Here is a 26,761-nt window from a genome sequence, read left to right as displayed (position 1 = left end):
GCATGGGCAACACAGTAAGAACCCAATTTCTCTTTGTTTTTTGTTTTGTTTTTTTTTTTGAGACGGAGTCTCGCTCTGTCTCCCAGGCTGGAGTGTAGTGGTGCGATCTTGGCTCACTGCAAGCTCCGCCTCCCGGGTTCACGCCTTTCTCCTGCCTCAACCTCCCCAGTAGCTGGGACTACAGTTGCCCACCACCACACCCGGCTAATTTTTTTTTCTTTTTTTTATATTTTTAGTAGAGACGGGGTTTCACTGTGTTAGTCGGGATAGTCTCAATCTCCTGACCTCGTGATCTGCCCGCCTCGGCCTCCCAAAGTGCTGGGATTACAGGTGTGAGCCACTGCGCCCAGCTAGTAAGACTCAATTTCTACAAAAATAAGAAAAAAATTAGCCAGGTGTGGTGGTGCATGCCTGTAGTTCCAGCTACTTGGGAGGCTGAGGCAGGAGGATCGCTTGAGCTTGGGAGGTTGAGGCTGCAGTCAGCTGTGTTTGTGCCACTGCACTCCAGCTTGGGTGACAGAGATCCTGTCTCAATCAATAAACCTTAACTCATTTAATCCTAACAACAGCCCATGGAATTCTTTACAGTTGAAGAAAGTGAGAATCAGAAGATAAAGTAAGTGATTTGCTTAAGGTTGGAACACAAGTAACTGGGAAAAGCAGGATTTGAATTCAAATCTGTCTAACCGAAGTGATACTCTTAACCACCAAGCACAATGGCTTGCAAAGACCCTCGTGTTTTCCATTTGACTAGCCATTGGTCCTCATATCGTAGCTGGGAGGGCAGTGTTATTATTCCTATTTTCCAGATGAGGAAAATGAGGCTTGGAAAGGTGACGCGGATTGCCCAAAGTCGCATAGCTAACAAGTGGTGGAGGCAGAACTTGGACTTGCCTCTTGTTCTCTGAGAGGCTCTGACCCCCAGCAGCGAGGCCTTGGCTCTCCTGCGGACGCCGAGTCCTTAACTCAGAGAAGCGTGGCTACATCTGCAGTGATTTCTCTGCGTTCACCGAGACTACGTGGGCACCGGGCACCTGGAGCTTGGCAGGAACTACGCGGAGGGAGGGAAGGGGTCAGCCCGGGGATCAGGCGACATGGCCTCCAGCTTCCGTGAAGCCTGAGCTTGTGTGATTACAGGGCCGTAGGCCTCGCTTCAGCAGTCTTGACGGCGGCTTGTTTCTCCGGCTTCTGGAATTTCAGTTCTTCCTGCCACAGCAGAAACGTGGCAGAGCTCCCAGAGCATCCTGAGAACGGGAACCTGGGCGACCTGCGGCGCCTCCGCAACCATTGGTTGTCGTGAGGCGCGGGGTCGTGTGTCAATTTGCATAACGTATTCGATAGGCTAATGAGACGGAAGTGGGCGTGCCCTGGCTAACCCACCTGTCCTTGGGTGGAGCGCGCAGGACTTCCGGGCAGGAAGGGTGGAGGGGCTACCTGGCTGCGGCGAGTGGGGCTGGGCAGGGGCCTGAAACTTCGCCGCCGCGCTCTCCGCTGCACCGCCCGTGTATGTAACCTGAAACGGCGGGTGTGAGGGACTCGCTGTAAACATGAATCGGCTGGAGCAGGACACAAAACATAAGGACGTTGGTTACTTCTCCGGGTGGGCAAATTTCCCTGGCGGGGGCCGTGAGAATACAAGTGGAAAGGAGATTTTCATTGTAAAATCTTTTATGCCCCAACTGAATCATGGGAGCCTATTAAAAGGCTATTATACATTAAAAGGCCGGGCGCGGTGGCCCACGCCTGTAATCCCAGCACTCTGGGAGGCCGAGGCTGGCGGATCACTTGAGGCCAGGAGTTCGAGACCAGCCTGGCCAACATGGCGAACCCCTGTCTCTACTAAAAAAAATTAGCCGGGCATGGCGGTGCGCGCCTCTAATCCCAGCTGCTTGGGCGGCTGAGGCAAGAGAATCGCTTGAACCTGGGAGGCGGAGGTTGCAGTGAGCTGAGATTGCACCACTGCACTCCAGCCTGGGCAATAGAGTGATACCCTGTCTCAAATAAATAAACACACGTGTGTTTTTATTATGTGTATATGTGTATATGGATAGATATAGATATTGATGATATATAGATACAGATTGCTCTTCTTAGGACACTATCAGAGACTTGTAAACTCCAAACAACCTGGCATTCAAAGCCCTCTGCAACCTGCCCTAGCCTCCTCCTCACCTGCTTATCAACCCTAAACCCAAAGCCACATGGATTGGTCTCCCTAACCCGGTTTTCTGCCCCTGGAAACAGCTTTGCCCTTGACTGCCCTTGCCATTCCTTCCACATGAGATTCTCTCTCTCATTATATTGCCACCTTTGAAGTTTCACCCAGCCTAAAGGGATCACTCAGAGGCCTCCTCGTCCCTGCCCAGAGGTCAGAACTGATCTCTGCCTTCCCTGTACTTCCAGGACAATTAGTTTGTACTTGTGTAAGAGTACTTCTTAGAATGTCACCAAGACAGTCCCCTACAGTCCCAGATGGTTCATCAGCACAGCTTCACAGCCTTGGCTCAGTGTCATTTATTGATTCAATAAACATTTTTTGTTTTTAATTTTTTAATTATTATTATTTTTGTAATTTTTAGTAGAGACGGGGTTTCACTGTGTTAGCCAGGATGGTCTCGATCTCCTGACCTCGTGATCTGCCTGCCTCGGCTTCCCAAAGTGCTGGGATTACAGGCGTGAGCCACTGTGCCTGGCCCATCAACAAACATTTATTAAATGCAGGGCTGTTGTAGGCACTGGAGATAGGGCAGGGGACTAACCCTAAAAGTTCCTGCCCTCCTGGAGTTTATGTTTTAGTGAAGACAAAGAGTAAATGGATAAAGCAACACAGTGTGCAATTTGTCAGGCCATGGCAAGGACATGAAGAAAACTAAAGCAAGGGAAGGGGCTGGGTGCATTGGCTCACACATGTAATCCCAGCACTTTGGGACATGGAGGAGGCAGATCACCTGAGGTCAGGAGTTTGAGACCAGCCTGGCCAACATGGTGAAACCTCGTTTTTACTAAAATACAAAAATTAGCCAAACCTGGTGGCAGGCGCCTGTAATCCCAGCTACTCAGGAGGCTGAGCCAGGAGAATCGCCTGGACCCGGGAGGCAGAGGTTGCAGTGAGCCGAGATCTCGCCACTGCACTCTAGCCTGGGCAACAAGAGTGAGACTCAACTGAAACAAAACAAAACAAAACAAAAACAACAAAAAAAAAAAAACAGGGAAAGAGGTCAGCCCTAGAGAGTGACGTTGGTTTTCATTTGGAGTAGGGCTTTAGCGATGGCGTCTTTGTGGAGGTGACATTTTAAGAGTGTTCTCAGTGAAATAAGAGAGGGTGCCATGTAGTAACTGGGACAACTGCTCCTGCTTGAGGGAGAGCAGGAGGAATAGCCATGTGCCTACTCAGTGCCCAGAAAATGGACAAGAAATTAAATTGGACAGTGGAGGAGGGGAGAGGAGATGGTCACTGGTCCAGACGTCTTAGATTCTCTAGGGGCGGCCAGCCTGGCCTCTACCCAGGAGACTGAGCTGTAACCAGTTAGCAAAGGGTTTAGAAGCCATATTTAGTGAGCTAGAGTTCTCTAGGGAGGCAGCGGGGGATTTCAGGAAAGAGAACCTGGCTGTGGGTTCTGGTCCCGGTTTTGGTCCCTGTCATTGTGACTTCAGGAGCCACTTCATCTCCCTGAATCTCAGTTTCTACCCTTTTAGTAGGGTTATAAAGCCCAGCTTGCTGGTGTATTGTAGGGACAATGATATTAAGAGCCACCATTTCTTTCTTTCTTTTTTTTTTTTTTTTTTGAGACAGAGTTTCACTCTTGTTGCCCATGCTGGAGTGCAGTGGTGCGATCTCAGCTCACTGTAACCTCCACCTCCCAGGTTCAAGCAATTCTCCTGCGTCAGCCTCTCAAGTAGCTGGGATTACAGGCATGCGCCACCATGCCCAGCTAATTTTTGTATTTTTAGTAGAGACGGGGTTTCACCATGTTTGTCAGGCTGGTCTCGAACTCCTGACCTCAGATGATCTGCCTGCCTCGGCCTCCCAAAGTGCTGGAATTATAGGCATGAGCCACTATGCCCAGCCTATTATTATTATTATTATTATTATTATTATTATTATTATTATTTGAGGCAGAGTCTCACTCTGTCACCCAGGCTGGAGTGCAGTGGCATGATCTCGGTTCACTGCAGCCTCTGCCTCCTCTAGGTTCAAGTGATGCTTGTGCCTCAGCCTCCTGAGTAGCTGGAATTACAGGCACAGACTACCATGCCCAGCTAATTTTTGTATTTTTAGTAGAGACAGGGTTTCACCATGTTGGCCAGGCTGGTCTCAAACTCCTGACCTCAGGTGATCTGACTGCCTCAGCCTCTCAAATTGTTGGGATTACAGGTGTGCACCACCACGCCTGGCTAATTTTTGTATTTTTAGTAGAGATAGGGTTTTACCACATCTGCCAGGCTGGTCTCGAATTCCTGACCTCAAGTGATCTGCCAGCCTCAGCGTCCTAAAGTGCTGGGATTACAGGCTTGAGCCACCATGCCCGGCCAAAATGCTGTTTTTGATGCTGCTATGGGTAAAGCACCCACTACAGAGTCTGGCACGAGTGGTTTGCCCTGAGGGTTGCTATTGGAATGTAACTAATTAGGCCACACACATGGAATCGCTGGGTGGCCCTGAGCCCTCAGACCTCCGGTGCCCATGCTGGACTGATGCCATCAACAAGGACAGTTGGATTAGTAGTTCTTATGACTATTACTATTATTATTATTATTAAGATTCTAAAAACCACACCTATCCCTAATCCCTTTGCTACTTGGCTCTCAGGCCAGGCTCTGACCAGTCATCCCCATCTCAAGGCTAAAAAGCAGAGGAGTTGCCAAGAAAGTGGGTCCTGGGGGCTGGGTGCGGTGGCTCAGGCCTGTAATCCCTGCACTTAGGGAGGCCAAGGTGGGTGGATTACCTGTGGTCAGGAGTTCGGGACCAGCCTGGCCAACATAGTGAAACCTCATCTCTACTAAAAATACAAAAATTAGCCAGGTGTGGCGGTGGGCACTTGTACTCTCAGCTACTTGGGAGGCTGAGGTGGGAGAATCATTTGAGCGCAGGAGATGGAGGTTGCAGTGAGCGGAGATCGTGCACTTTAGCCTGGGCAACAGAGTGAGATTCCATCTCAAAGAAAAAAAAAAAAAAGTGGGTCCTAGAGGCAGATGGCCTTGGCTTGAAGCCTAGCTCTGCCACTTACAAGCTCTGTGATCTTGTGCAAGTCACTCAGCCTCTCTGTGTGTCAGTGACCTCATTTGTAACATAGAGAATCTAAGTCCTACCTCATAGGGTTGTTGCAAGGATTACAGGAGTGAATAGATGGAAGTGTTTTCAGAAAGTGCCTGGGACATCCTGTGTGCTATATAAATGTTAGCTGCTATTGTCCTTCTTGAAGACCATGGGAAGCCACTGAAGGGGGAAGGGACTGTAAGCACAGGAGGAACCCCTAGCCCCCTGGGAGCCACCTTAAACCTGGGCATCAGCAATGACAGTAGGGCTACCTCCCCTGCATTTTGCCTCCAGCAGCATGACCCCTTTGCAGCCTGTTTACCAGGAGGCACTCAGCTGTGAGCCTCTTGCCCCACTTGCTGGCACCTCCCTGTCTTGCCCAACGGTGCTTTGTGGTTTTGTCTCCATTTCCTTTGGTTGAATGACTTCGAGGTGGAGGGGTTTCTCTTGGGCAAGAGCAGTGCTTCCTCAATCACTCTGACTGCTGGGGTCTTTGCCCCTCTGTCGGGAGCCTCAGCATTGCTCAGAGCCTTCTCTCATCTCCAGAATCTTGCAAGTCACTCTCTTTCCACGTTGCCCAACATAACCCTGTAAGCCCCTCGAGTTTCTCTAGTGTTTTCCCCACACATTTTGCCAGATAAGCCTCATCAAACCAACCTTGTTAGTTAGATGGGGCCTATCACATTATTGTCTTTTGACAGATGAGGAAACAGGCCCAGAGTTGAGAAATGACTAGTTTAAGATCACACAGCAAGGAAACAGCAAAGCTGACACCCCAGTCCAGCCCTCTTTTCTACCCAACAATAAAACACCATCTAGCCTGAGCAACACAGGGAGACCCTGTCACTACAACGATAAAGTAAGCTGGGCGTGGTGACATGCACCTGTAGTCCCAGCTACTCAGGAAGCTGAGGTGGGAAGATTGCTTGAGCCCAGGAGGTTGAGGCTGCAATAAGCTGTGATCACACCACTGCACTCCAGCCTGGGCGACAGAGTGAGACCCCATTGCAAAACCAAAACACCAACCGAACAACCGCCCCCCCACCGCCCCAATAATATCTGTATGTATGGCACTGATTTTGTGCTAGGGTTTTTGTTTTGTTTTGTTTTGTTTTTTTTGAGGTGGAGTTTTGCCTTTGTTGCCCAGGGTAGAGTGCAGTGGCGCAATCTTGGCTCACTGCAACCTCCACCTCCCAGGTTCAACCAATTCTCCTGCCTCAGCCTCCTGAGTAGCTGAGACTACAGGTGCACGCCACCACACCCGGCTAATTTTTGTATTTTTAGTAGAGACGGGGTTTCATCATGTTGGCCAAGATGTTCTCCATCTCCTGACCTTATGATCCGCCCACCTCGGCCTCCCAAAGTGCTAGTATTACAGGCGTGAGCCACTGTGCCTGGCCACTGTGCTAGGTTTTAAAAGACATAACCTTATTTAATTTTCACTCAGCTAGTAAGTAGTGGAACTGAGATTCAAACCCAGGTGTTTGGGTACCAGACCCAGGATGCATACCCTTCTATCCCAACTGCTTTGCACTGGGGGGTCAAATTGCATTTGCTCTAAATTGCTGAAATCCTGTGATGTCACCCTGATTCCATTAGCACCCAGCTGGGCTGCGCTGCTGAAACAGCTTTGGATGTTGGCTTCCCTATCTTGGAATGAATTTAACACCCCATGGCCTGACCGCCCAGCAAGGCGTATATTATGACCGTAAAGTCGTTTGCCACACAGAAGTAATATACGGCCAAATGTTAAAATGCAACCTTGAAGAGAAGAGTCTGAGAGACACTCTCACACCAAGTCAAACATGCCAAGCTTGGCTGCCGGTGCCGTGCTGGGCTACACTGAGATGAGGCTGTGCTCAGGCCGGGCATGGTGGCTCACGCCTGTAATCCCAGTACTTTGGGATGCTGAGGCGGGTGGATCACCTGAAGTCAGGAGTTTGAGACTAGCCTGGCCAACATGGTGAAACCCTGTCTCTACTAAAATTACAAAAATTAGCTGGACATGGTGGTGAGTGCCTGTAATCCCAGCTACTCATAAGGCTGAAGCAGGAGAATCCCTTGGACCCGGGAAGTGGAGGTTGCAGTGAGCTGAGATTGCACCACTGCACTCCAGCCTGGGCGACAGAGGGAGATTCCATCTCAAAAAATGATAATAATAATTAATTAATTAATTAATTAATTGAATTATACAACACGTGGCCTTTTGTGGCTGACTTCTTCCACTTTTTTTTTTTTTTTTTTGAGACAGTGTCCTACTCTGTTGCCTAGGCTGTAGTGCAGTGGTATGATCTCAGCTCACTGCAATCTCCGCCTCCCCGGTTCAAGCGCTGCTCAGCGCCTCAGCCTCCCGAATAGCTGGAACTACAGGTGTGCACCACCACGCCTGGCTAATTTTTGTATTTATAGTAGAGACAGGATTTCACTGTGTTGGCCAGGGTGGTCTCGAACTCCTGACCTCAGGTGATCTGCCTGCCTTGGTCTCCCAAAGTGCTGGAATTACAGGCCCGAGCCACTGCACCCAGCCTGACTTCTTCCACTTAGCATGACGCTTTCAAGGTTCATGTGTGTATTACCATGTATAATCACTTCATTCTTTTTTATTATCAAATAATACTCCATTATATGTATATGACACATTTTGTTTATCCATTCTTCAGTTCATGGACATTGTTTTCCATGTTTTCACTATTATGAATAACACTGCTATGAACACTCATTCATATACATTTATATACAAGTTTTTTGTAGGCATATGGTTCCACCTCTCTTTGGCAGAATCTTCTACCTAGGAGTAGGAATTTCTAGGTGATAAGGCTGGGTGCGGTGGTTCATGCCTGTAATCCCAGCACTTTGGGAGGGCGAAGAGTTCGAGACCAGCCTGGCCAACATAGAGAAACCTCGTCTCTACAAAAAACACACAAAAAATTACCTGGGCGCTGCTGCGTGTGGTGGCTTATGCCTGTAATCCCACCACTTTGGGAGGCTGAGGAGGGAGGATCACAAGGTCAGGAGTTCGAGACCAGCCTGGCCAACATAGAGAAACCTCGTCTCTACAAAAAACACACAAAAAATTACCTGGGCGCTGCTGCGTGTGGTGGCTTATGCCTGTAATCCCACCACTTTGGGAGGCTGAGGTGGGAGGATCACAAGGTCAGGAGTTCGAGACCAGCCTGGCCAATATGGGGAAACCCCATCTCTACTAAAAATACAAACATTAGCCGGGCACGGCCAGGCGAGGTGGTGGGTGCCTGTAGTCCCAGCTACTCTGGAGGCTGAGGCAGGAGAATGGCGTGAACCCTGGAGGCAGAGGTTGCAGTGAACCAAGATTGTACCACTGCACTCCAGCCTGAGCGACAGAGCCCACTCTGGCTCAAAAAAAAAAAAAAAAAAAAGTCAGCGGGCACAGTGGCTCATGCCTGTAATCCCAGCCCTTTGAGAGGCCAAGGTGGGTGGATCAGCTGAGGTCAGTAGTTCGAGACCAGTCTGGCCAACACAGTGAAACCTTATCTCTACTAAAAATACAAAAAATTACCTGGGCATAGTGGTGGGCGCTACTCGGGAGGCTGAGGCAGGAGAATCGCTTGAACCCAGGAGGCAGCGGTTGCAGTGAGCCGCACTCCAGCCTGGGCAACAAGAGCGAAACTCCATCTCAAAAAAAAAAAAATTTCTAGGTAATAAGGTAACTCTATGTTTAAGGGTTTTTTTTGTGTGTGTGTTTATTTGTTTGTTTGTTTTTTAGATAGAGTCTTGCTCTGTTGCCCAGGCTGGAGTGTAGCAGCAGGATCTCAGCTCACTGCAACCTCTGTGACCTGGGTTCAGGTGATCCTCCCACCTCAGCCTCTCGAGTAGCTGAGGTTGCACCACCGCGCCTGGCTAATTTTTCTATTTTTAGTAGAGACAGGGTTTCACAATGTTGGCCAGGCTAGTCTTGAACTCCTGACCTCAAGTGATCCACTCACCTCGGCCTCCCAAAGTGCTGGGATTTTTTTTTTTTTTTTTTTTTTTTTTTGAGACGGAGTCTCGCTCTGTCGCCCAGGCTGGAGTGCAGTGGCGGGATCTCGGCTCACTGCAAGCTCCGCCTCCCGGGTTCACGCCATTCTCCTGCCTCAGCCTCCCGAGTAGCTGGGACTACAGGCGCCCGCCACTACGCCCGGCTAATTTTTTGTATTTTTAGTAGAGACGGGGTTTCACCGTTTTAGCCGGGATGGTCTCGATCTCCTGACCTCGTGATCCGCCCGCCTCGGCCTCCCAAAGTGCTGGGATTACAGGCGTGAGCCACCGTGCCCGGCCCAAAGTGCTGGGATTATAGGTGAGAGCCACCACGCCCAGCTGGGCTCTATGTTTAATATTTTCAGGAACTGCCACAGTGTTTTCCAAAGTGGCTGCACTTTTTTACAATCCCACCAGCAATATATGAGTGTTCCAATATCTCCACCGTTTTGATTTACCCATTTCCTGTTAAAGCTTCCCAGTGGAAACTGAAACTCCCACTTGAGCAATGCAAGGTGAACAAAATATGCAATGATGGCTGGGTGCGGTGGCTCACGCCTGTAATCCCAGCACTTTGGGAGGCCAAGGCGGGAGGATCACGAGGTCAGGAGTTCGAGACCAGCCTGACCAACATGGTGAAACCCCGTCTCTACTAAAAATATAAAAATTGGCCAGGTGTGGCTGGGCGGGGTGGCTCACGCCTGTAATCCCAGCACTTTGGGAGGCCGAGGCAGGCGGATCACGAGGTCAGGAGATCGAGACCATCCTGGTTAACATGGTGAAACCCCATCTCTACTAACATTACCCGGGCTCGGCCAAGCGTGGTGGTGGGAGCCTGTAGTCCCAGCTACTCGGGAGGCTGAAGCAGGAGAATGGCGTGAACCTGGGAGGCGGAGCTTGCAGTGAGCCAAGATGGCACCACTGCCCTCCAGCCTGGGCAACAGAGCAAGACTCCATCTCAAAAAAAAAAATTTAGCCAGGTGTGGTGGCATGCGCCTGTAATCCCAGCTACTCAGGAGGCTGAGGCAGTGAGGCAGGAGAATTGCTTGAACCCAGGAGGCAGAGGCTGCAGTGAGCCAAGAACACACCATTGCACTCCAGCCTGGGCAATAGAGCAAGACTCCATCTCAAAAAAAAAAAAATGCAATGATGGTGATGTGTTGAAGCAAGTCTCTCCTTGGACCCTTGGAAACAGAGGCTGGCCCATCCCAAGTGTCCTTGGAAATCACTTAACCTCTCTGAGCCAGTTTTCTCTAGAGACCTAAAGTGAGATCTAATAATAGAGATCACAGGAGAGTAAAGTTTGAAAAGTTTTGGGCTCCTGGCCTCCTTTTCCTTTTTCTTCTTTTTTTCACTTCTAATGGTACTTGGACATTTCCTTTTTTTTGAGACGGAGTCTCACTCTGTTGCCCAGGCTGGAGTGCAGTGGCGTGATCTTGGCTCACTGCAAGCTCCGCCTCCTGGGTTCAAGTGATTCTCCTGCCTCAGCCTCCTGAATAGCTGGGATTACAGGTGTGCACCACCACGCCCAGCTAATTTTTGTATTTTTAGTAGAGACGAGGTTTCACCATGTTGGCCGGGCTGGTCTCAAACTCCTGACCTCAGGTGATCCACCCGCCTCAGCCTCCCAACTTTCTGGGATCACAGGTGTGAGCCACAGCACCTGGCTTTACTTATTTATTTATTTTTTTAAGTCATCTACTCCATCTCTTCTTGTCTGAAATGGCTTAGACTTGTAAACTTTGCCTTTCTGTGTCTTCAATTCTTCTTCTATAAGAAGGAGATTAGACATCATATCACGGGGTTATTGTCACGATAAGATGGCAAACATGCAATAAATGGTAGATGTTATTATTATTATTATTATTATTATTATTTGAGACAGAGTCTCTCTCTGTTGCCCAGGCTGCAGTGCAGTGGCATGATTTTGGCTCACTGCAACCTCCACCTCCCAGGCTCAAGCAATTCTCTGCCTCAGCATCCCAAGTAGCTGGGATTACAGGCACCTGCCAGCACGCCTGGCTAATTTTTGTATTTTTAGTAGAGATGGTGTTTCACCATCTTGGCCAGGCTGGTCCTGAACTCCTGACCTCGTAATCCACCTGCCTTGGCCTTACCAAAGTTCTGGGATTACAGGGGTGAGCCACCGCGCCCGGCCGTTACTATTATTATTATTTTATTTATTTATTTATTTTGAGATGGAGTATCGCTGTGTCACCCAGGCTGGAGTGCAATGGCATGATCTCGGCTCACTGCAACCTCCTCCTGGGTTCAAGTGATTCTCTTGCCTCAGCCTCCCGAGTAGCTGGGATTACAGGCACCTGCCACCACGCCCAGCTGATTTTTGTATTTTTAGTAGAGATGGGGTTTCACCAGGTTGACCAGGCTGGTCTCGAACTCGTGACCTCAGGTCATCCACCCGCCTCGGCCTCCCAAAGTGCTGGGATTACAGGTGTGAGGCACTGTGCCCAACCGGTAGATGTTATTATTAAAATACAGGAAGATCTGTTCATTCCACCACTACTGACCAAGTTCCTATTAAGTGCCAGTTCCTGTGATACGAAGATGATTGAGACCCTTGAAATTTGTGGCTCACAGGTTGGTGGAGCAGACATATAAAAAAATCATTATGCCCCAGTATGGCAAGTGCCATAAAAGAAGTGTGTTTAAAGTTCTTTGTGGTTGGAGAGGAAAGGGTGTGGCAAGAAGGGTCAAGCAGAAGGAAGTGGCGATCGGAAGAGCTGGGTGGCACTGGGGCAGGTGGGAGAGGTCCCTTTTCTGCAGAGTGGATGGTGAGGTCTGATGGATTCCTGAGCTGTGGGGTTCCTCTTGGCTATACCCCACCTACCCACATCTGGGACCCAGAAGTGACCTGCATGCACTCAGGCTGGAAGGCTGAACTTTGGCCTAGAAATCCAGATCAGATAAGGGCTTGACACCCTCCCAGAGCACACACCCAAACCTCTGTGTATCCAAGTTCAGGTGGCCATAGGGCACGGTGGACACCATGAATAGTGGGTGTATGAGGGGAAAAGAGACATGTGCCATGAGTTGGATTGGGGAGGGAGGCAGAATGGCACAGAGAAAAGGGTTTCGAGTTATGACTCTGCTATTTAATAGCCTTGTGATCTCTGTGGCAAGTCACAACGGCTCACTCTGGCCTCAGTTCACTCATCTGCAAAATGGGGCTAAACACAACCCTCCTCAAACAGTAAACATCAAGATGAAGCGAGGTGGCATGAAAATGCTATTGCAAAAGCCAAATGCTGTACACCTGCGGGAAGGTTCGTTATTATCTGATGAATGAATCAATGAAATGTAGCTTATCCATACAATGAAATGGCATTCGGCAATAGAAAGGAATGAAATACTGATAGATGCTACGACATGGATGAACCCTGAAATCATCATGCTAGATCAAAGAAGCCAGACACAAAAGATCACATATTGTATGATTCCATTTATACGGAATGTCCACAATAGGCAAATTATCTGTAGAGTCAGAAGGTAGATTAATGGTTGCCTAGCGCTGGGGGAGGAGGCTGAGGGAAAACAGGAAGTGACTGTTCATGGATATGGAGTTTCTTTAGGGTGATGAAAATGTTCAGGAATTACTGGTCATGACTGCACAGCTCTGTGAATATACTAAAAACAACTGAGTTGTAAGGTGTGTGAATTTTATCCCAATAACGCTGTTTAAAAAAACAGAAGCATGGGCTGGGTGCGGTGGCTCCCACCTGTAATCCTGGCACTTTGGGAGGCCAAGGTGGGCGGATCACGAGGTCAGAGATCGAGACCATCCTGGCTAACACAGTGAAAGCCCGTCTCTACTAAAAAATACAAAAAATTAGCTGGGTGTGGTGGTGGGCACCTGTAGTCCCAGCTACTCGGGATCAAATGATCTGCCTGCCTAGGCCTCCCAAAGTGCTGGGATTACAGCTGTGAGCCACCGTGCCCAGCCCACATAGATTCTTATTTCAATTTAGTAGCTTATTTGTTTATTCATGCCATGGACATTTATTGAGGGTCTTGCAGAGTGCTAGGTTCCGTGCCATGTACTTGGGATATAAGCATAAAGCACTCGTCTGTCTTTAGGAAGCTCATGACCTCCTTGTCCAGGGGTAGGCAAGCTGACAGCATGAGAATGCTACGACAGAAGCAACCCTAAGGCCAGGTGGGGTGGCCTTGACTCTAATCCAAGCACTTTTGGAGGCTGAGGCAGGAAGATTGTTTGAGGCTAAGAGTTTGAGATCAGCATGGGCCGTATAGAAAGACCCCATCTCTACGAAAAATAAATTAGCTGACTGTAGTAGCACGTGTCTATAGTCCCAGCTACCTGGGAGGCTGAGGCAGGAGGATCACTTGAACCTGTGAGGTTAAGGCTCCAGTGAGCCAAGATCACGTGACTACACTCCAGTCTGGGCAAGAGAGTGAGAGCGTGTCTCAAAAAAACATAAAACAGAAGCAACCCCAAGTACAATGGGACCACAGAGGAGAACATCCATGCCAGGCTGCAGGATCCAGAGAGGCCTCCAGAAGGAGTTACCACACTCAAAGACTCAAGGGGCAGTGGGGAAGTGTTAATGGTATGCAGACCAGGGTGAGCCCTAGATGGACAGTGTTGTGAATCAGGCACGGGAACCATTGCATCAGATTCCTGGAATGTTTGTTGAGTGCACGCTAGAGAGGGGGCCCTGAGCGCCCATCCAGGGAAGGAGGAGGTGTGGTCCTTCAGGTGGAGGGCACAGACCTGGTGCTCAGTGATCATTTGCTGAATGAATGGTATGAAATGTGGGTGTTCAGGACTCACCACCTGAGGTACTGGTTTAATTAAAATCTCCCTAGGTGGTTGGGCACGGTGGCTCATGTGTGTAATCCCAGCACTTTAGAGGCTGAGGGAGAGGGACTGCTTGAGCCCGGGAGTTTGAGACCAGACCAGGCAACAAAGCAAGACCCATTCTCTACAAAAAAATAAAACAATGAGCTGGGTATGATGGCATGTGCCTGTAGTCTTAGCTTCCTGGGAGGCTGAGGTGGGAGGATTCCTTGAGCCCAGGAATTTAAGGTTGCAGTGTGCTATGACTGCGCCACTGCACTCCAACCTGGGCGACGGAGTGGGACCCTGCCTCTTAAAATAAAATTTAAAAAAAAACCTCCCTAGAGATTCTGATGTCTGATGCATTAAAAACTCCTCAGCACAACCACAAGACACTTTCTGATTAAGCCAGTGCTTTGAACACTTTAATATGATGCCAGCCACCTGGGGGCTTGTTAACATGCAGATTCAGAATCAGTGGGTCTGGGCTGGATCTTCAGACTCTGCATTTGTTTTCTTTCTTTTTTTTTTTTTTTGAGACTGTGCAGTGGCCTGATCATGGCTCACTGCAGCCTCAATCTCTCAGGCCCAGGTGATCCTTCCACCTCAGCTTTCTGAGTAGCTGGAACTACAGGCATGTGACACCACCATGCCTGGATAATTTTTTTTTTTTTTTTTTTGAGACAGAGTCTCGCTCTGTCGCCCAGGCTGGAATGCACTGGCGCGATCTCGGCTCACTGCAAGCTCCGCCTCCCGGGTTCACTCCATTCTCCTGCCTCAGCCTCCCGAGTAGCTGGGACTACAGGCGCCCGCTACCACACCCAGCTAGTTTTTTTGTATTTTTAGTAGAGACAGGGTTTCACCATATTGGCCAGGCTGGTCTCAAACTCCTGACCTCGTGATCCGCCCGCCTCGGCCTCCTAAAGTGCTGGGATTACAGGCATGAGCCACCATGTCCAGCTGAGACTGCATTTCTAAAGGCTCCAGGTGAGGTTGCTGCTGTGATGCTGAGGGTCCCAGGACTGCATATCTGCTGCAGGGCCTTGCCCCTTCCAACTCCTGCTGCCTTCTTGACATTCCCTCCCCTTTCACTGAGCTTGTGCACAGACTGTCTTCTCCCCTCTGGGCTACGCACCCAGTTTTTCCTGTCTGGAATGAGCTGCTATTCCCCCTTACCCTACACACCCCATCTCCTCTTTCCCCAACAGCACCCTGTGCTGAAGCCTTCGCAGGATTTACCAGGCTGACCTGTTAGTACCTGCATGGATGTCTTCAGAGCAGAGACTGTGGATTGTCTATCACCAAGTTCCAGCACCTGGTACAGGATCTGGCAAATCACAAGCCCTCAGGAAATATCTGGGGAATGAAAAATGAACCTCTGAGAGGAGATAAGATAGAAAGACGCATAATCATCATGACATCATCATAGCAAATACCACTTGGCACTTACTCTGTGCTGGCCCTGTTGTTGGTGCTTGACATTTAGTTAAGTCATTTAATTCCCACAACAACCCAGTTTTGTAGGGATTATCATCAACCTTATTTTATTTTAATTAATTATTTGAGATGGAGTCTCTCACTCTGTTGCCCAGGCTAGAGTGCAGTGGCATGATCTCGGCTCATTGCAACCTCTGCCTCCTGAGGTCAGGAGTTCAAGATCAGCCTGGCCAACAGGGCAAAACCCCGTCTTTACTAAAAATACAAAAGTTAGCCAGGTGTGGTGGCACGTGCTTGTAATCCCAGCTACTAGGTAGGAGAATCCCAGCTGAGGTAGAAGAATCGCTTGAACCCAGGAGGCAGAGGTTGCAGTGAGCCGAGATCACGCCATTGGACTCCAGCCTGGGTGACAAGAGCGAAACTCGTCTCAAAAAGCAAACAAATGAACAAACAGAAGAACAACTCCGTAAGTTTGTGCCAAGCTGATGCTTACAGCTGGGCTTCAGGACCATTAACTGAGGATGCAGAAGATACAGGTGGCAGTTGGAAGAGACAGTGGGGGAGGGCCTTGTTGAGAAGCTAAGGTCATGGTGTGGAGGGGAGGAAAGGAGGGCAAGTATCAGAGTGGGACAAGAGTGCTGGGGAGGACAGGATGGCTGGGTAAGATGGTGGCGAGGAGTGATGGGTCCTGGGAGCCAGGGAAGAGGGAGGAGAAGGACTGCGCATGAGTGTGGTTGACAGAGAGAGGCTGGAAACCTGAATGGAGCAGGAAGTCAGGCATGCAGACAGGTTTGGCAAGAACCAGGATGGTGGGAGCGGGGCTAGACACTGTGTGCTGGATTTAAGGAGAAGGCAGTTAAACAATAGGGAAACACGCCAAAAATCTTGAACTTGAGAGTAGAACTACAGGTAACAAAGGTGTTTTGTTATTCTTTTTAATGTTTTCTAACTTTTAAAATGAGCATGTATTCTTTTGTATCTATATTTGAATTTATAGCATAATTTTTCACATTAAAAATGGATTTACTTTAATAGGCAATACAGCCGGGCGTGGTGGCTTTACGCCTGTAATCCCCAGCATTTTGGAGGGCCGAGGTGGAAGGATGGCTTAAGCCCAGGAGTTGAAGACCAGCCTGGGCAAAAAAGTGAGACCTCCTCCCATCTCTACAATAAAATACAAAAATTGGCCAGGTGCTACTCTGGGCACACTGCCTATAGGGTAGCCCTGCTCTGCAAGGCCAGTACTAGGAGGGAAAAAGAAAAAGAAAACAAAGGAACAAACAAAACAAGGAAAAAAAGAAAAAAAAATTAGTGGGGCATGGTGGTGAGTCCCTGTAGTCTCAGCTACTCGAGATGCTGAGGTGGGAGATTGCTTGAGTCCAGGAGGTTGAGGCTGCAGTAAGAGTGAGCCATGATCAGGCCACTGCAGCTCCAGCCTGGGTGACACAGAGCTCACTGCAGCCTTCACCTCCTGGGCTCAAGTGATCCTTCTACCTCAGCCTCCTGAGTAGCTGGAACTACAGCCGTGCACCACTCCGCCTGGGTAATTTTTGTATTTTTTTGTAGAGACAGGATTTCGCCATGTTTCCTGGGCTGGTCTCCTGGACTCAAGTGATTCCTCCACCCCTGGCCTCCCAAAATGCTGGTATTACAGGCATGAGCCACCACACCCTGCCCTTTTATCTTTTCCTTCTTCTTCCTTTTTTTTGTTTTTGAGACAGAGTCTCGCTCTGTAGCCCAGGCTGGAGTGTAGTGGCGAGATCTTGGCTCACTGCAACCTCTGCCTCCCGGGTTCAAGCGATTCTCCTGCCTCAGCCTCCCGAGTAGCTGGGATTACAGGTGCCCGCTACCACCCCGGCTAATTTTTTGTATTCTAGTAGAGATGGGGTTTCACCGTATTGCTCAGACTGGTCTTGAACTCCTGAGCTCAGTCAATCCGCCCACCTCGGCCTCCCAAAGTGCTGGTATTACAGGCGTGAGCCACCACGGCTGGCCCCATTTTTCTTAATGTAGATGTTCTTGGTAACTTCTGGGTACATATTCTTTGTTAGATATATGTATTGTAAATATTTTCTACCAGTCTATGATTTGATTTTTCACTCTTTTAAATGTGTCTTTTGATGAACAGAAGTTACTAATAATAATGAGGTTCAATTTAATAATCATCCATCTCTTATGGCTTATACTTTTTTTGTGTGTCTTAAGAAATTTTGGTCTACTTCAAGGTCATGAAGATATTCTCCTATGCTTTTTTTTTTTTTTTTTTTTGAGACGGAATTTTGCTCTTGTTGCCCAGGCTGGAGTGCAATGTTGCGATCTCGGCTCACTACAACCTCTGCCTCCCCGGTTTAAGCGATTCTCCTGCCTCAGCCTCCTGAGTAGCTGGGATTACAGGCGCATGCCACCATGCCTGGCTAATTTTTGTATTTTGGTAGAGACAGGGTTTCATCATATTGGTCAGGCTGGTCTTGAATCCCTGACCTCAGGTGATCCGCCCACCTCGGTCTCTCAAAGTGCTGGGATTACAGGCGTGAGCCACCACGCCCGGTTGATATTCTCCTATGCTTTCTTTTAGATGTTTTATTGTTTTTACATTTAGGTCTCTGATCCATCCTAAACTATGTTCATTAATGGTGTGGTCGGGTCACGATTCATGTTTCCCTATGTGGGTATGTAATTGACCTACTACCATTTATTCAAAAGACCATTCTACCCTGACTTGTTTGCAGTGACACTATTATAATAAGTCAGGTGACCATGTACATGTAGATCTCTCGATTTCATTTTATTTTATTATTATTTTTTTTGAGACGGAGTCTCACTCTGTCACCCAGGCTGGAGTGCAATGGGATGATCTTGGCTCACTGTAACCCCCGCCTCCTGGGTTGAAGTGATTCTCCTGCCTCAGCCTCCTGAGTAGCTGGGATTACTGGTGTGTGTCACCACGCCTGGCTAATTTTTGTACTTTTAGTAGAGACAGGGTTTCACCATGTTGGCCAGGCTGGTCTTGAACTCCTGAAATCGTGATCCACCGGCCTCAGCCTCCCAAAGTGCTGGGATTACAGGTGTGAGCCACTGTGCCCAGCCATGTAAAGATTTGAAGGAAATAATGAGTTTTTTTTTTTTTTGAAAGAGTCTTGCTCTGTTGCCCAGGTTGGAGTGCAGTGGTGTGATCTCGGCTCACTGCAACCTCCGCCTCCCGGGTTCAAGTGATTCTCTGGCCTCAGCCTCCCTAGTAGCTGGGATTACAGGCGCATGTCACCATGCCTGGCTAATTTTTCTATTTTTAGTAGAGACGGGGTTTTGCCATGTTGGCCAGGCTGGTCTTGAACTCCTGACCTCAAGTGATCTGCCCGCCTCTGCCTCCCAAAGTGCTGGGATTATAGGCGTGAGCCACCGCGCCTGGCATAGGAGGTTTGTTAATAGTAGCTGTGATGGGGTTGTAAGCTTATGGGTGATTTTTCTTTTCTTTTTTTTTTTTTTGGTATACTCCACACCGAACGTAGTATTAATACTCAGACAAAATGAATAAATATTTTTCTTTTTTTTTTTTTTTGAGACAGAGTCTCGCTCTGTCGCCCAGGCTGGAGTGCGGTGGCGTGATCTCGGCTCACTGCAAGCTCCGCCTCCCGGGTTCACACCATTCTCCTGCCTCAGCCTCCCGAGTAGCTGGGACTACAGGCACCCGCCACCACGCCCGGCTAATTTTTTGTATTTTCTAGTAGAGACGGGGTTTCACCATGTTAGCCAGGATGGTCTCGATCTCCTGACCTCGTGATCCACCCGCCTCAGCCTCCCAAAGTGCTGGGATTACAGGCGTGAGCCACCATGCCTGGCCAGAAATGTTTTTCAAAATCTACAGGAGTAGAAACTATTAAGGGTGCAGGTTCTTAGAGGCTGGAAAAGGGGTTAGGCTTATGCAAGTGAGAGGGCTACCTTAGCTAAAGGACTCATGTTGCCTAGGGGATGGGGAGGAAAGAATTCAGGGCCTGCCTGATGGAGGCCTTTTGTCTTATTAGTGACCTTAAGTTTTCCCTGGAGAGGGTGATGCTCAGAGGCCGGGGGCATGAGGAAAATGAAAATAATCATACCAATAATGCTCTGTTGTATGTGCGCATTGCTTAGTGGTTTATAAAACACTTTCAGGTCCATAGTCTCCTGTGTTCCTCCCAACAGTCCTGTGGGCTGGGCCAGGCCCAGTGATCACATTCATTTTGCAGATAAGGAAACAGGCTCTCTGAGTCCTGCTTAAGCATTCACTAAAGGCCATTTTATGTCAGGCCTTATGCTAGTTCTGGGCCCAGAGAGACAAATAGGGCTCAGTCCCTGACTGTCCACAGGCAGCTTCCAGCCTGGGCGGAAAAAGCAGAAAGTGAATGAATGATTAAAACTCAATGTGTAAATACAATGAGAGAATAGATACCAGAGAATGGAGTACAGAGGAGGAGTTCCTAACTGGTCTTGAGAGTCAGGAAAGATGTTTTAGAAGTGGTGACATCTGGCCGGGCGCGGTGGCTCACACCTGTAATCCCAGCACTTTGGGAGGTCGAGGCGGGTGGATCACAAGGTCAGGAGTTCGAGACCAGCCTGGCCAATATGGTGAAACCTCGTCTCTACTGAAAATACAAAAAAATTAGCCGGGCATGGTGGCACATGCCTGTAATCCCAGCTACTTGGGAGGCTGAGGCAGGAGAATTGCTTGAATCCGGGAGGCAGAGGTTGCAGTGAGCCAAGATCGCGCCACTGCACTCCAGCCTGGGTGACAGAGCGAGATTCCGTCTCAGAAAAAAAGGAAGTGGTGACATCAACATGAGTCTTTTTATTTTTTAATTTTTTTTAGATGAAGTCTCACTCTGTTGCCTAGGCTGGAATACAGATGTGTGATCTCAGCTCACTGCAACCTCCGCTTCCTGGGTTCAAGCGATTCTCCTGCCTCAGCCTCCTGAGTAGCTGGGATAACTGGTGCATGCCACCACGTCCAGCTAACTTTTGTATTTTTAGTAGAGATGGGGTTTCGCCATGTTGGCCAGGCTGGTCTCGAACTCCTGACCTCAGGTGATCCACCCGTCTCAGCCTCCCAAAGTGCTGGGATAACAGGTGTGAGCCACCATACCTAGAATGAAATGAGTCTTTCAATTTTTGTATTTTTTCTTTCTTCTTCTTTTTTATTTTTATTTTTTCCAGAAACAGGGTCTTGCTTTGTTGACCAGGCTGGAGTGCAGTGGCATGCTCACAGCTCATTGCAGCCTCAAACTCCTGGGCTCAAGCAATCCTCCCACCTCAGCCTCCTGAGTAGCTAGGACTGCAGGCAAGTACTACCATGCCCAACTAAGTGTGTATGTATATTATAGGCGTGAGCGACCACACCAGGACAAAATCATGTTGTAACAGCATTCTATAAATTTGCTCTTCCTCACTTAGTAGATTTTCTTTTTCTTTTCTTTTTTGAGGCAAGGTCTTACTCTGTTGCCCAGGCTGGAGTGCAGTGGCACGATCAAGGCTCACTGTAGTCTCAACCTCCCAGGCTCAAGCAATCCTCCCAGCTAAGCCTCCTGGGTAGCTGGGAATACAGATGTGCGCCACCATGGCAGTCTAGTTTTTGTATTTTTTGTAGAGATGGGATTTTGCGATGTTACCCAGGATGGTCTTGAACTCCTGGGCTCAAGCAATCCTCCCACCTTACCTCCCAAAGTGCTGGGACTACAGGCATGAGCCACTGCGTCTGGCCACTTAGTATATTTTCAATCAGCAAATACAAATCTACATAAAAATTTTAATGACTTTTTTTGTACTTTTCGACATATGACTATATCACAATGTATTCAATCTTGTAATATATTGTACATTTATTTCTAACATTTAGTGACTATAAACAATGTTGCAAAGAACTTTTTTTTTTTTTTTTTTTTTTTTTTTTTTGAGACGGAGTCTCGCTCTGTCGCCCAGGCTGGAGTGCAGTGGCGGGATCTCGGCTCACTGTAAGCTCCGCCTCTCGGGTTCACGCCATTCTCCTGCCTCAGCCTCCCAAGTAGCTGGGACTACAGGCGCCCGCCACTACGCCCGGCTATTTTTTGTAGTTTTAGTAGAGACGGGGTTTCACCGTTTTAGCCGGGATGGTCTCGATCTCCTGACCTCGTGATCCGCCCGCCTCGGCCTCCCAAAGTGCTGGGATTACAGGCGTGAGCCACCGCGCCCGGCTGCAAAGAACTTTAAAGTTCATATCTGTGTACTTTTCTAATGTCTTTTAAGATGAATTCTCAGATAGAATTGATCAATTTACTTTCTCATCTGTATCTATAAACCTGACCAATATTGAGCATTTTTTTTTTAATTAGGTGAAAATGGCATTTTATGTTGTTTTGTTTGCATTTCTTATGGCTTTTTAAAAATAATTATTGGCCATTTATAATTCTTCTTTAAAATCACCTGTTCCTGTTTTTGGCCATTTTTATTTTGGAGTCTTTGAGGTTTTTCTTTTTCTTTTTCTTTGTTTTTTTTTTTTTTGAGGCGGAGTTATGCTCTTGTTGCCCAGGCTAGAGTGCAGTGGTACGATCTCTGCTCACTGCAACCTCCGCCTCCCGGGTTCAAGCGATTCTCCTGCCTCAGCCTCCTGAGTAACTGGGATTACAAGCATGGGCCACCATGCCCGGCTAATTATTTTGTATTTTTAGTAGAGACGGGGTTTCTCCACGTTGGTCAGGCTGCCCTTGAACTCCCAACCTCAGGTGATCCGCCCGCCTCGGCCTCCCAAAATGTTGGGATTACAGGCATGAGCCACGCGCCCGGCCGAGGTTTTTCTTATCAACTGGGAAGAGATCTTTATATATTGCTGATAGTAATTTGTCACAGAGTTGCAAAATCTTTTTTTCCCAGCTTTCTTTTGCCTTTAGAACATAGCTTTTTTCTGAAGTTAATTTGGAAGAATAGTCATGATAGCAAGCACATTCCAGTAAGAAAGAGTAATGATGAGAAATTTGCCCTCATAGATATAGAATGTATTATAAAGGTATCTTCATTAAAGCATGGTGGGATTGGCACAGGTGCACACAGAGAGATCAATGTATACAAGTCAGAAACAGCTTCAAGTATAATAGTTCTATAGGCGATGAAGGTGCCAACTAAAATCAGTGGAGAAAACAGTGTTTGGACAAGTGGCTATTACAAAAATTATCTTAGGTTTCTTCCTTACCCCAAAAATAAATTCCAAATGGATCAAAAGATTTTTCATTTAAAAATGAAAACATTTTTTATCCTCTTGTAGTGGACAGTAACAAAAAAAAAGTGCAATTTGTAACAAGTACCTGAAAGGATGTATGCGAGTTAATGACATGGAGGTGAAGAGAGGCTCGGAAGGGTATTCCAGGTGGAGAGAACGGCCAGAGCGAAGGTTTGGAGGCTGAAAGGCAGCAACGTGCGGATCCTAAAGAGGCAGGGTCAGGAATCGAACTCAAGACGCTCACAATGGAATCCAGGGCTGAGTCCATGCCCGCCCCCACAGGGATCATAATTATGTAAAATAGCATTTTTCCCATATATGGTACTTAATATCTGTCCTTGTGGTGGGATGACATGAGACTGAGAGCACAGCTCGCGGGGCGGGGTGTCAGAGTTCCAGACCTTCCCAGTCGGCTCCCGCAGGGCCTCGCCCCGGCCCAGGCAAGGCACCAAAACCCCGGCCCGGAGCTCTCCGCGCCCCGAGTCGCCGCCTCCTGATTGGATTCCCCCTGTGTCAATCCTTGTCCTAGAACCTGGCTGTCCGTTGGACCCGCCCTAGAGGGCGGGGCTCCCGCCTAGGAAGCGCGGGGGAAGGTGGAGCGGGTGGAGGTGGGGCGGAAAGAGGATGTTGAATCCCCACCCATCTGGCCGCAGAGGCTCCGCCCACCCCCTTTCCACAGGCCAATACGTCTGCCCATCAAGGCCAGGCGCGGCCTGCAGTGGGTGTAGCAGGAAGGGGGCGGGATTGTGCCCCAGGCTCCGCCCCGGAGCCGGCTCCCGGCTGGGAATGGTCCCGCGGCTCCGAGGGCGGGGCGGGAAGGCGGCGAGGAGCCGAGCTGGGTGCGGTGAGGCGCGCAGATCACCGCGGTTCCTGGGCAGGGCACGGAAGGCTAAGCAAGGCTGACCTGCTGCAGCTCCCGCCTCGTGCGCTCGCCCCACCCGGCCGCCGCCCGAGCGCTCGAGAAAGTCCTCTCGGGAGAAGCAGCGCCTGTTCCCGGGGCAGATCCAGGTTCAGGTGAGCGAGCCCCACCGCGGTCCCGCCCCGGGCAGGCGGCGGCGGGCGGGCGGGGGCGAGACGCGCTGCCGCCAGGCCGACTGGTGGTTCTTGGGCTCAGTGCGGCCCGCCACCCGCGCGGGCGGGGGCGAACGCCGGCGGCTCAGGGCCCGGCACCGCATCCTTCCCAGGGGGACCGGGACCCCCACGCGGGCGCTCGGGGAGGGCGCCGGCAGCAGCGAGGCCTAGGGGTGCAGGGGCGGCCTCGGGACCCGGCGCTCCCCGGCGCCCCCCGTGTCCCCCGGCGCGGTCTCAGGACTGGGCACTGGAGCCGACCTCCCCCAGCCGCTGGGGCACGCGCCCCGCCCTCGCCTCGCCCAGGCCCGACTCGGGCAAACTTTTTAACCCCTTCCGGGAGCCGCGGCCCCTGGGACGCAGCCTCACGGGTTGGGAGCCCGGGGCAGCCGCTCCCGTGGAAGTTTCTGGCGTCTGAGGCACGGAGGTAACGGGCAGCGGGCACCGTTTGGCAGCTGTCAGGGCGTCCTCCTGAGTCAGAGTCGGACCGTCCCGCTGCAGACCTTGCACCCGGCCCGGTTTCCGCCTCCGCGGCCGACTTCCTCATTCGCCCGCTGCCGTCGGACTGGTCGGGGAGGGCCCGGGGGAGGTGCGGCGGCTGCCCGGACAAGGGGGACCCGGCGGGGACCCGGGCGCGAGACAGGAAGGGCCACCCCCAGTCCCTGCTCCAGCCCTCGACCTCCGACTTCTGATCCTCGGGGGAGGGAGGCCCGGAATGCAGCAGCCGTCGGGGCCGCCCAGGCGTGCACCTGATTCCACCGCACCCAGGGGCCATCCCGTCTGGGCGGGGTGCGGGGGCAGCTAGCTCTGCCGTTACGAGCAGGCCTGGGCGATTGCATCTTTCCTGTTTGAGCCAAATCGGAGTTTTCTATTCTCCACTCCACGCACCCGCTTCCCTGTGCTGGGGTCCTCACCCCATCCTGTTCTGGGGCCACGCACAGGAGACAGGACTGCGGCACCCTCATTCTCCAGGGAAGCCCCGCTGTTTCAAACTGAGACTCAGCACCCCCAGCACTAGCTTGCCGGCTGTCCTGTGGTGGGGGGCAGGGTGAGCGCACGGCCCCACCCAGCCGGTGTGGAGAGAAGACTCCTTGGGAAGTCCCAGGTCGTAGAGGCAGGCGGCTGTCTCCACCGGGCAGTTGAGAGGCCCAGCCACTTCTCGGTTCACTGCGCCCTTTTCTGGGTTTAACAGGATTTCAAAGTGACTGATGAGTAACCGTGGAAAGGGAAGAGAGCCTTAGCTCCTTCTCCGTGCAGCGCAGCACTGTGGCCATTCTAACTACACTGTCTGGGCCAGTGTTTGGCTCACCTGATGGCTTAGGAGTCCCTTTTTGGTAAGGAGGGAGGCCTTTTGAGACAATCACTCAATTAATAATAGTCAGTTTATATACAAGGCTGCTATGTGTGGGGGAAGGGGACACAGATGTGTAATTGAGCAAATATTTAACTGCCCTCTCTGTGCCAGGGACTCTGCCAGGTGGTGGGGGGGTGGGAGGTTGAGTAAGACCTGGCCCGTGCCCATGGGCACTTAGGGGAGAACTGAGACAAATCTGTAGATGAGTCTAACGTGAGGTAGAGATGACAGGGACCCCGGAAAGGTACTGTGAGTCATGGGGATTGGGAGAAGGGAGCCAGACTGCCCTGTGAAATCCCCGGGGCCCTGCCTCTGCCCTTGGGGAGTTTACAGTCCTCAAGGGGAAAGTGGCAGAACCAGTGAAATACAAAGGCAGCCTGTGATGTGTGTCCCAAGTATGCCATAGACAAAGGACTCAGGAATTTCAAGGCTGAGAGGGGCCACTTCTCTTGGGCAAGGAGGAGGCTGCTACAAGGGAGAAGCACATTGCAGGTTTGGCAAACTGAGGCAAGCATGCGGTGTTGGAAAGTGAGGAGCCACTTAGTGGATAATTGGGGGGTAATTAAAAACATGGAGAGATTGCTCAGTGTAATTTGAGAGCCACTGCGCTCTGGATGACTGTGGGGTGACACCAAAGAACTTCAGTCTCCACACTCAGCAAACCCTGGCAGCGCAGGTGGGCAGAGCCAGGTGTCTGGAGAGCCGGCATTGGCAGGCTCTGGGGAGCTCCCCAGCCCCGGAGAGAAGGGCAGCATTCGGTGAGGCTGTTCATCTGAAAGGTTCAGGAGGGTAGAGGAGAGGGAGGGCCCTGGCTTTCTTGCTTTTATTTTTAAACTTTTTAACCTAAGGGGTTGGAGATGGGACAACTTCTCTCTCGTAGGATGAAGGACGCATGTTAATCACAGCCTGCCTTTTGCCCGCTCTTGCTCCAGAAAAAACAAAACAAGGATCTGTTAGCTCTTTAAAAGAAGAAAAACACACTAAAAAAATGCAGCATTGTTGTGTAGCCTGGTAGGGTATTGCTAGAAACCAGGCTGGCTGTTCTTCCTTTACTTCCTCTTCTAGCTAATTCTTCAATAAAGTACTTAAGACAGCCCTTACCAGCTTGACATCTTTATTTCAAAAGGAGAGGAGGGGTTGGCTGTTGTTTTCCTCTGAGCCTGGCCCTACCCTTCTCTTGGAGGGGGAGAAAGAGAAACCCAAAGCAAAGGAAAAAGAGAGAGAGAGAAAAAAAAAAACCCGTGCCTTGACAGCTTCCTCCCAAGCATCATGTTCCAAAAATATTTAGAATAACAAAATCTGTGTGTCGTCGTAATTAAACAAACGTCCTAATTTACTGAGCATAAAACAGCATCTCTGCCTGCTGGGGCAGGAAGTGCATTTCCCTTTGTGCAGCCCCAGAGAGTCACTGCCTCTCAGCCTTAACCCTTGGTGTGCTGAGACCCTGGGCTGGAGTCCTCTGCTGACAAAAGAATGGAGCCCTGGCAGTGCTGCTGCTGTGGCTTACTGAATCCCACTCTTAGAGCTGGGAAGAGTGGGGTAGTGGAAAGAACGTGAGCTTTGGAAACAGGCCGAGTTCAAATCCTGACCATGCTACTTAATAGCTTTGTGACCTTAGGC

General features: G+C 50.0%; 1 protein-coding gene and 1 long non-coding RNA gene across 4 annotated transcripts in view, besides 10 other annotated features; one reads left to right on the top strand and one right to left on the bottom strand.

Annotated features, from left to right (window-relative positions):
• Window positions 1–538: 538 nt before the first annotated feature.
• Window positions 539–23,218, bottom strand: MYH9-DT (MYH9 divergent transcript). 3 transcript variants are annotated; one of them, NR_183573.1, is made up of 3 exons: window positions 22,805–22,946; window positions 15,325–15,422; window positions 539–1,513 (listed from the first exon to the last, which is right to left on the bottom strand). It is a non-coding gene; the product is annotated as an MYH9 divergent transcript (long non-coding RNA). The 3 variants fall into 3 exon arrangements; NR_183574.1 differs by lacking the exon at window positions 539–1,513 and adding an exon at window positions 23,121–23,218 and having other exon boundaries at window positions 12,696–15,422; window positions 22,805–22,923; NR_183572.1 differs by lacking the exon at window positions 539–1,513 and having other exon boundaries at window positions 12,696–15,422.
• Window positions 1,773–2,393: an enhancer, noted in NCBI's record as "NANOG-H3K27ac-H3K4me1 hESC enhancer chr22:36805192-36805812 (GRCh37/hg19 assembly coordinates)". NCBI's record gives its function as "activates a minimal SCP1, AML or CMV promoter by ChIP-STARR-seq in naive H9 embryonic stem cells {active_cell/tissue: H9 hESC(naive)}" and the evidence as "EXISTENCE:reporter gene assay evidence [ECO:0000049][PMID:30033119]".
• Window positions 23,262–23,556: an enhancer, noted in NCBI's record as "tiled region #2056; HepG2 Activating DNase matched - State 1:Tss, and K562 Activating DNase unmatched - State 1:Tss". NCBI's record gives its function as "activates a minimal TATA promoter and a strong SV40 promoter by Sharpr-MPRA in HepG2 and K562 cells {active_cell/tissue: HepG2 | K562}" and the evidence as "EXISTENCE:reporter gene assay evidence [ECO:0000049][PMID:27701403]".
• Window positions 23,262–23,929: a biological region, named in NCBI's record as "Sharpr-MPRA regulatory region 2056".
• Window positions 23,350–23,929: a silencer, noted in NCBI's record as "silent region_13667". NCBI's record gives its function as "represses an Ori minimal core promoter by ATAC-STARR-seq in GM12878 lymphoblastoid cells {active_cell/tissue: GM12878}" and the evidence as "EXISTENCE:reporter gene assay evidence [ECO:0000049][PMID:35858748]".
• Window positions 23,573–26,761, top strand: part of MYH9 (myosin heavy chain 9) — a 106,688-nt gene continuing 103,499 nt past the window's right edge. Inside the window, exon 1 of the mRNA NM_002473.6 lies at window positions 23,573–23,733. The gene's annotated coding sequence lies outside the window, so the exon portion shown is untranslated. The remainder of the gene's footprint in view (window positions 23,734–26,761) is intronic.
• Window positions 23,960–24,039: a silencer, noted in NCBI's record as "silent region_13666". NCBI's record gives its function as "represses an Ori minimal core promoter by ATAC-STARR-seq in GM12878 lymphoblastoid cells {active_cell/tissue: GM12878}" and the evidence as "EXISTENCE:reporter gene assay evidence [ECO:0000049][PMID:35858748]".
• Window positions 24,320–24,549: a silencer, noted in NCBI's record as "silent region_13665". NCBI's record gives its function as "represses an Ori minimal core promoter by ATAC-STARR-seq in GM12878 lymphoblastoid cells {active_cell/tissue: GM12878}" and the evidence as "EXISTENCE:reporter gene assay evidence [ECO:0000049][PMID:35858748]".
• Window positions 24,987–25,700: an enhancer, noted in NCBI's record as "H3K27ac-H3K4me1 hESC enhancer chr22:36781885-36782598 (GRCh37/hg19 assembly coordinates)". NCBI's record gives its function as "activates a minimal SCP1, AML or CMV promoter by ChIP-STARR-seq in primed H9 embryonic stem cells {active_cell/tissue: H9 hESC(primed)}" and the evidence as "EXISTENCE:reporter gene assay evidence [ECO:0000049][PMID:30033119]".
• Window positions 25,180–25,229: an enhancer, noted in NCBI's record as "active region_18933". NCBI's record gives its function as "activates an Ori minimal core promoter by ATAC-STARR-seq in GM12878 lymphoblastoid cells {active_cell/tissue: GM12878}" and the evidence as "EXISTENCE:reporter gene assay evidence [ECO:0000049][PMID:35858748]".
• Window positions 25,701–26,414: an enhancer, noted in NCBI's record as "H3K27ac-H3K4me1 hESC enhancer chr22:36781171-36781884 (GRCh37/hg19 assembly coordinates)". NCBI's record gives its function as "activates a minimal SCP1, AML or CMV promoter by ChIP-STARR-seq in primed H9 embryonic stem cells {active_cell/tissue: H9 hESC(primed)}" and the evidence as "EXISTENCE:reporter gene assay evidence [ECO:0000049][PMID:30033119]".
• Window positions 25,740–25,929: an enhancer, noted in NCBI's record as "active region_18932". NCBI's record gives its function as "activates an Ori minimal core promoter by ATAC-STARR-seq in GM12878 lymphoblastoid cells {active_cell/tissue: GM12878}" and the evidence as "EXISTENCE:reporter gene assay evidence [ECO:0000049][PMID:35858748]".

This window comes from Homo sapiens, chromosome 22, assembly GCF_000001405.40.
Source record: "Homo sapiens chromosome 22, GRCh38.p14 Primary Assembly".
Lineage (NCBI taxonomy): Eukaryota > Metazoa > Chordata > Mammalia > Primates > Hominidae > Homo > Homo sapiens.
Note: the sequence above shows the minus strand (reverse complement) of the source record. Positions and strands in the feature narration are given on the sequence as shown.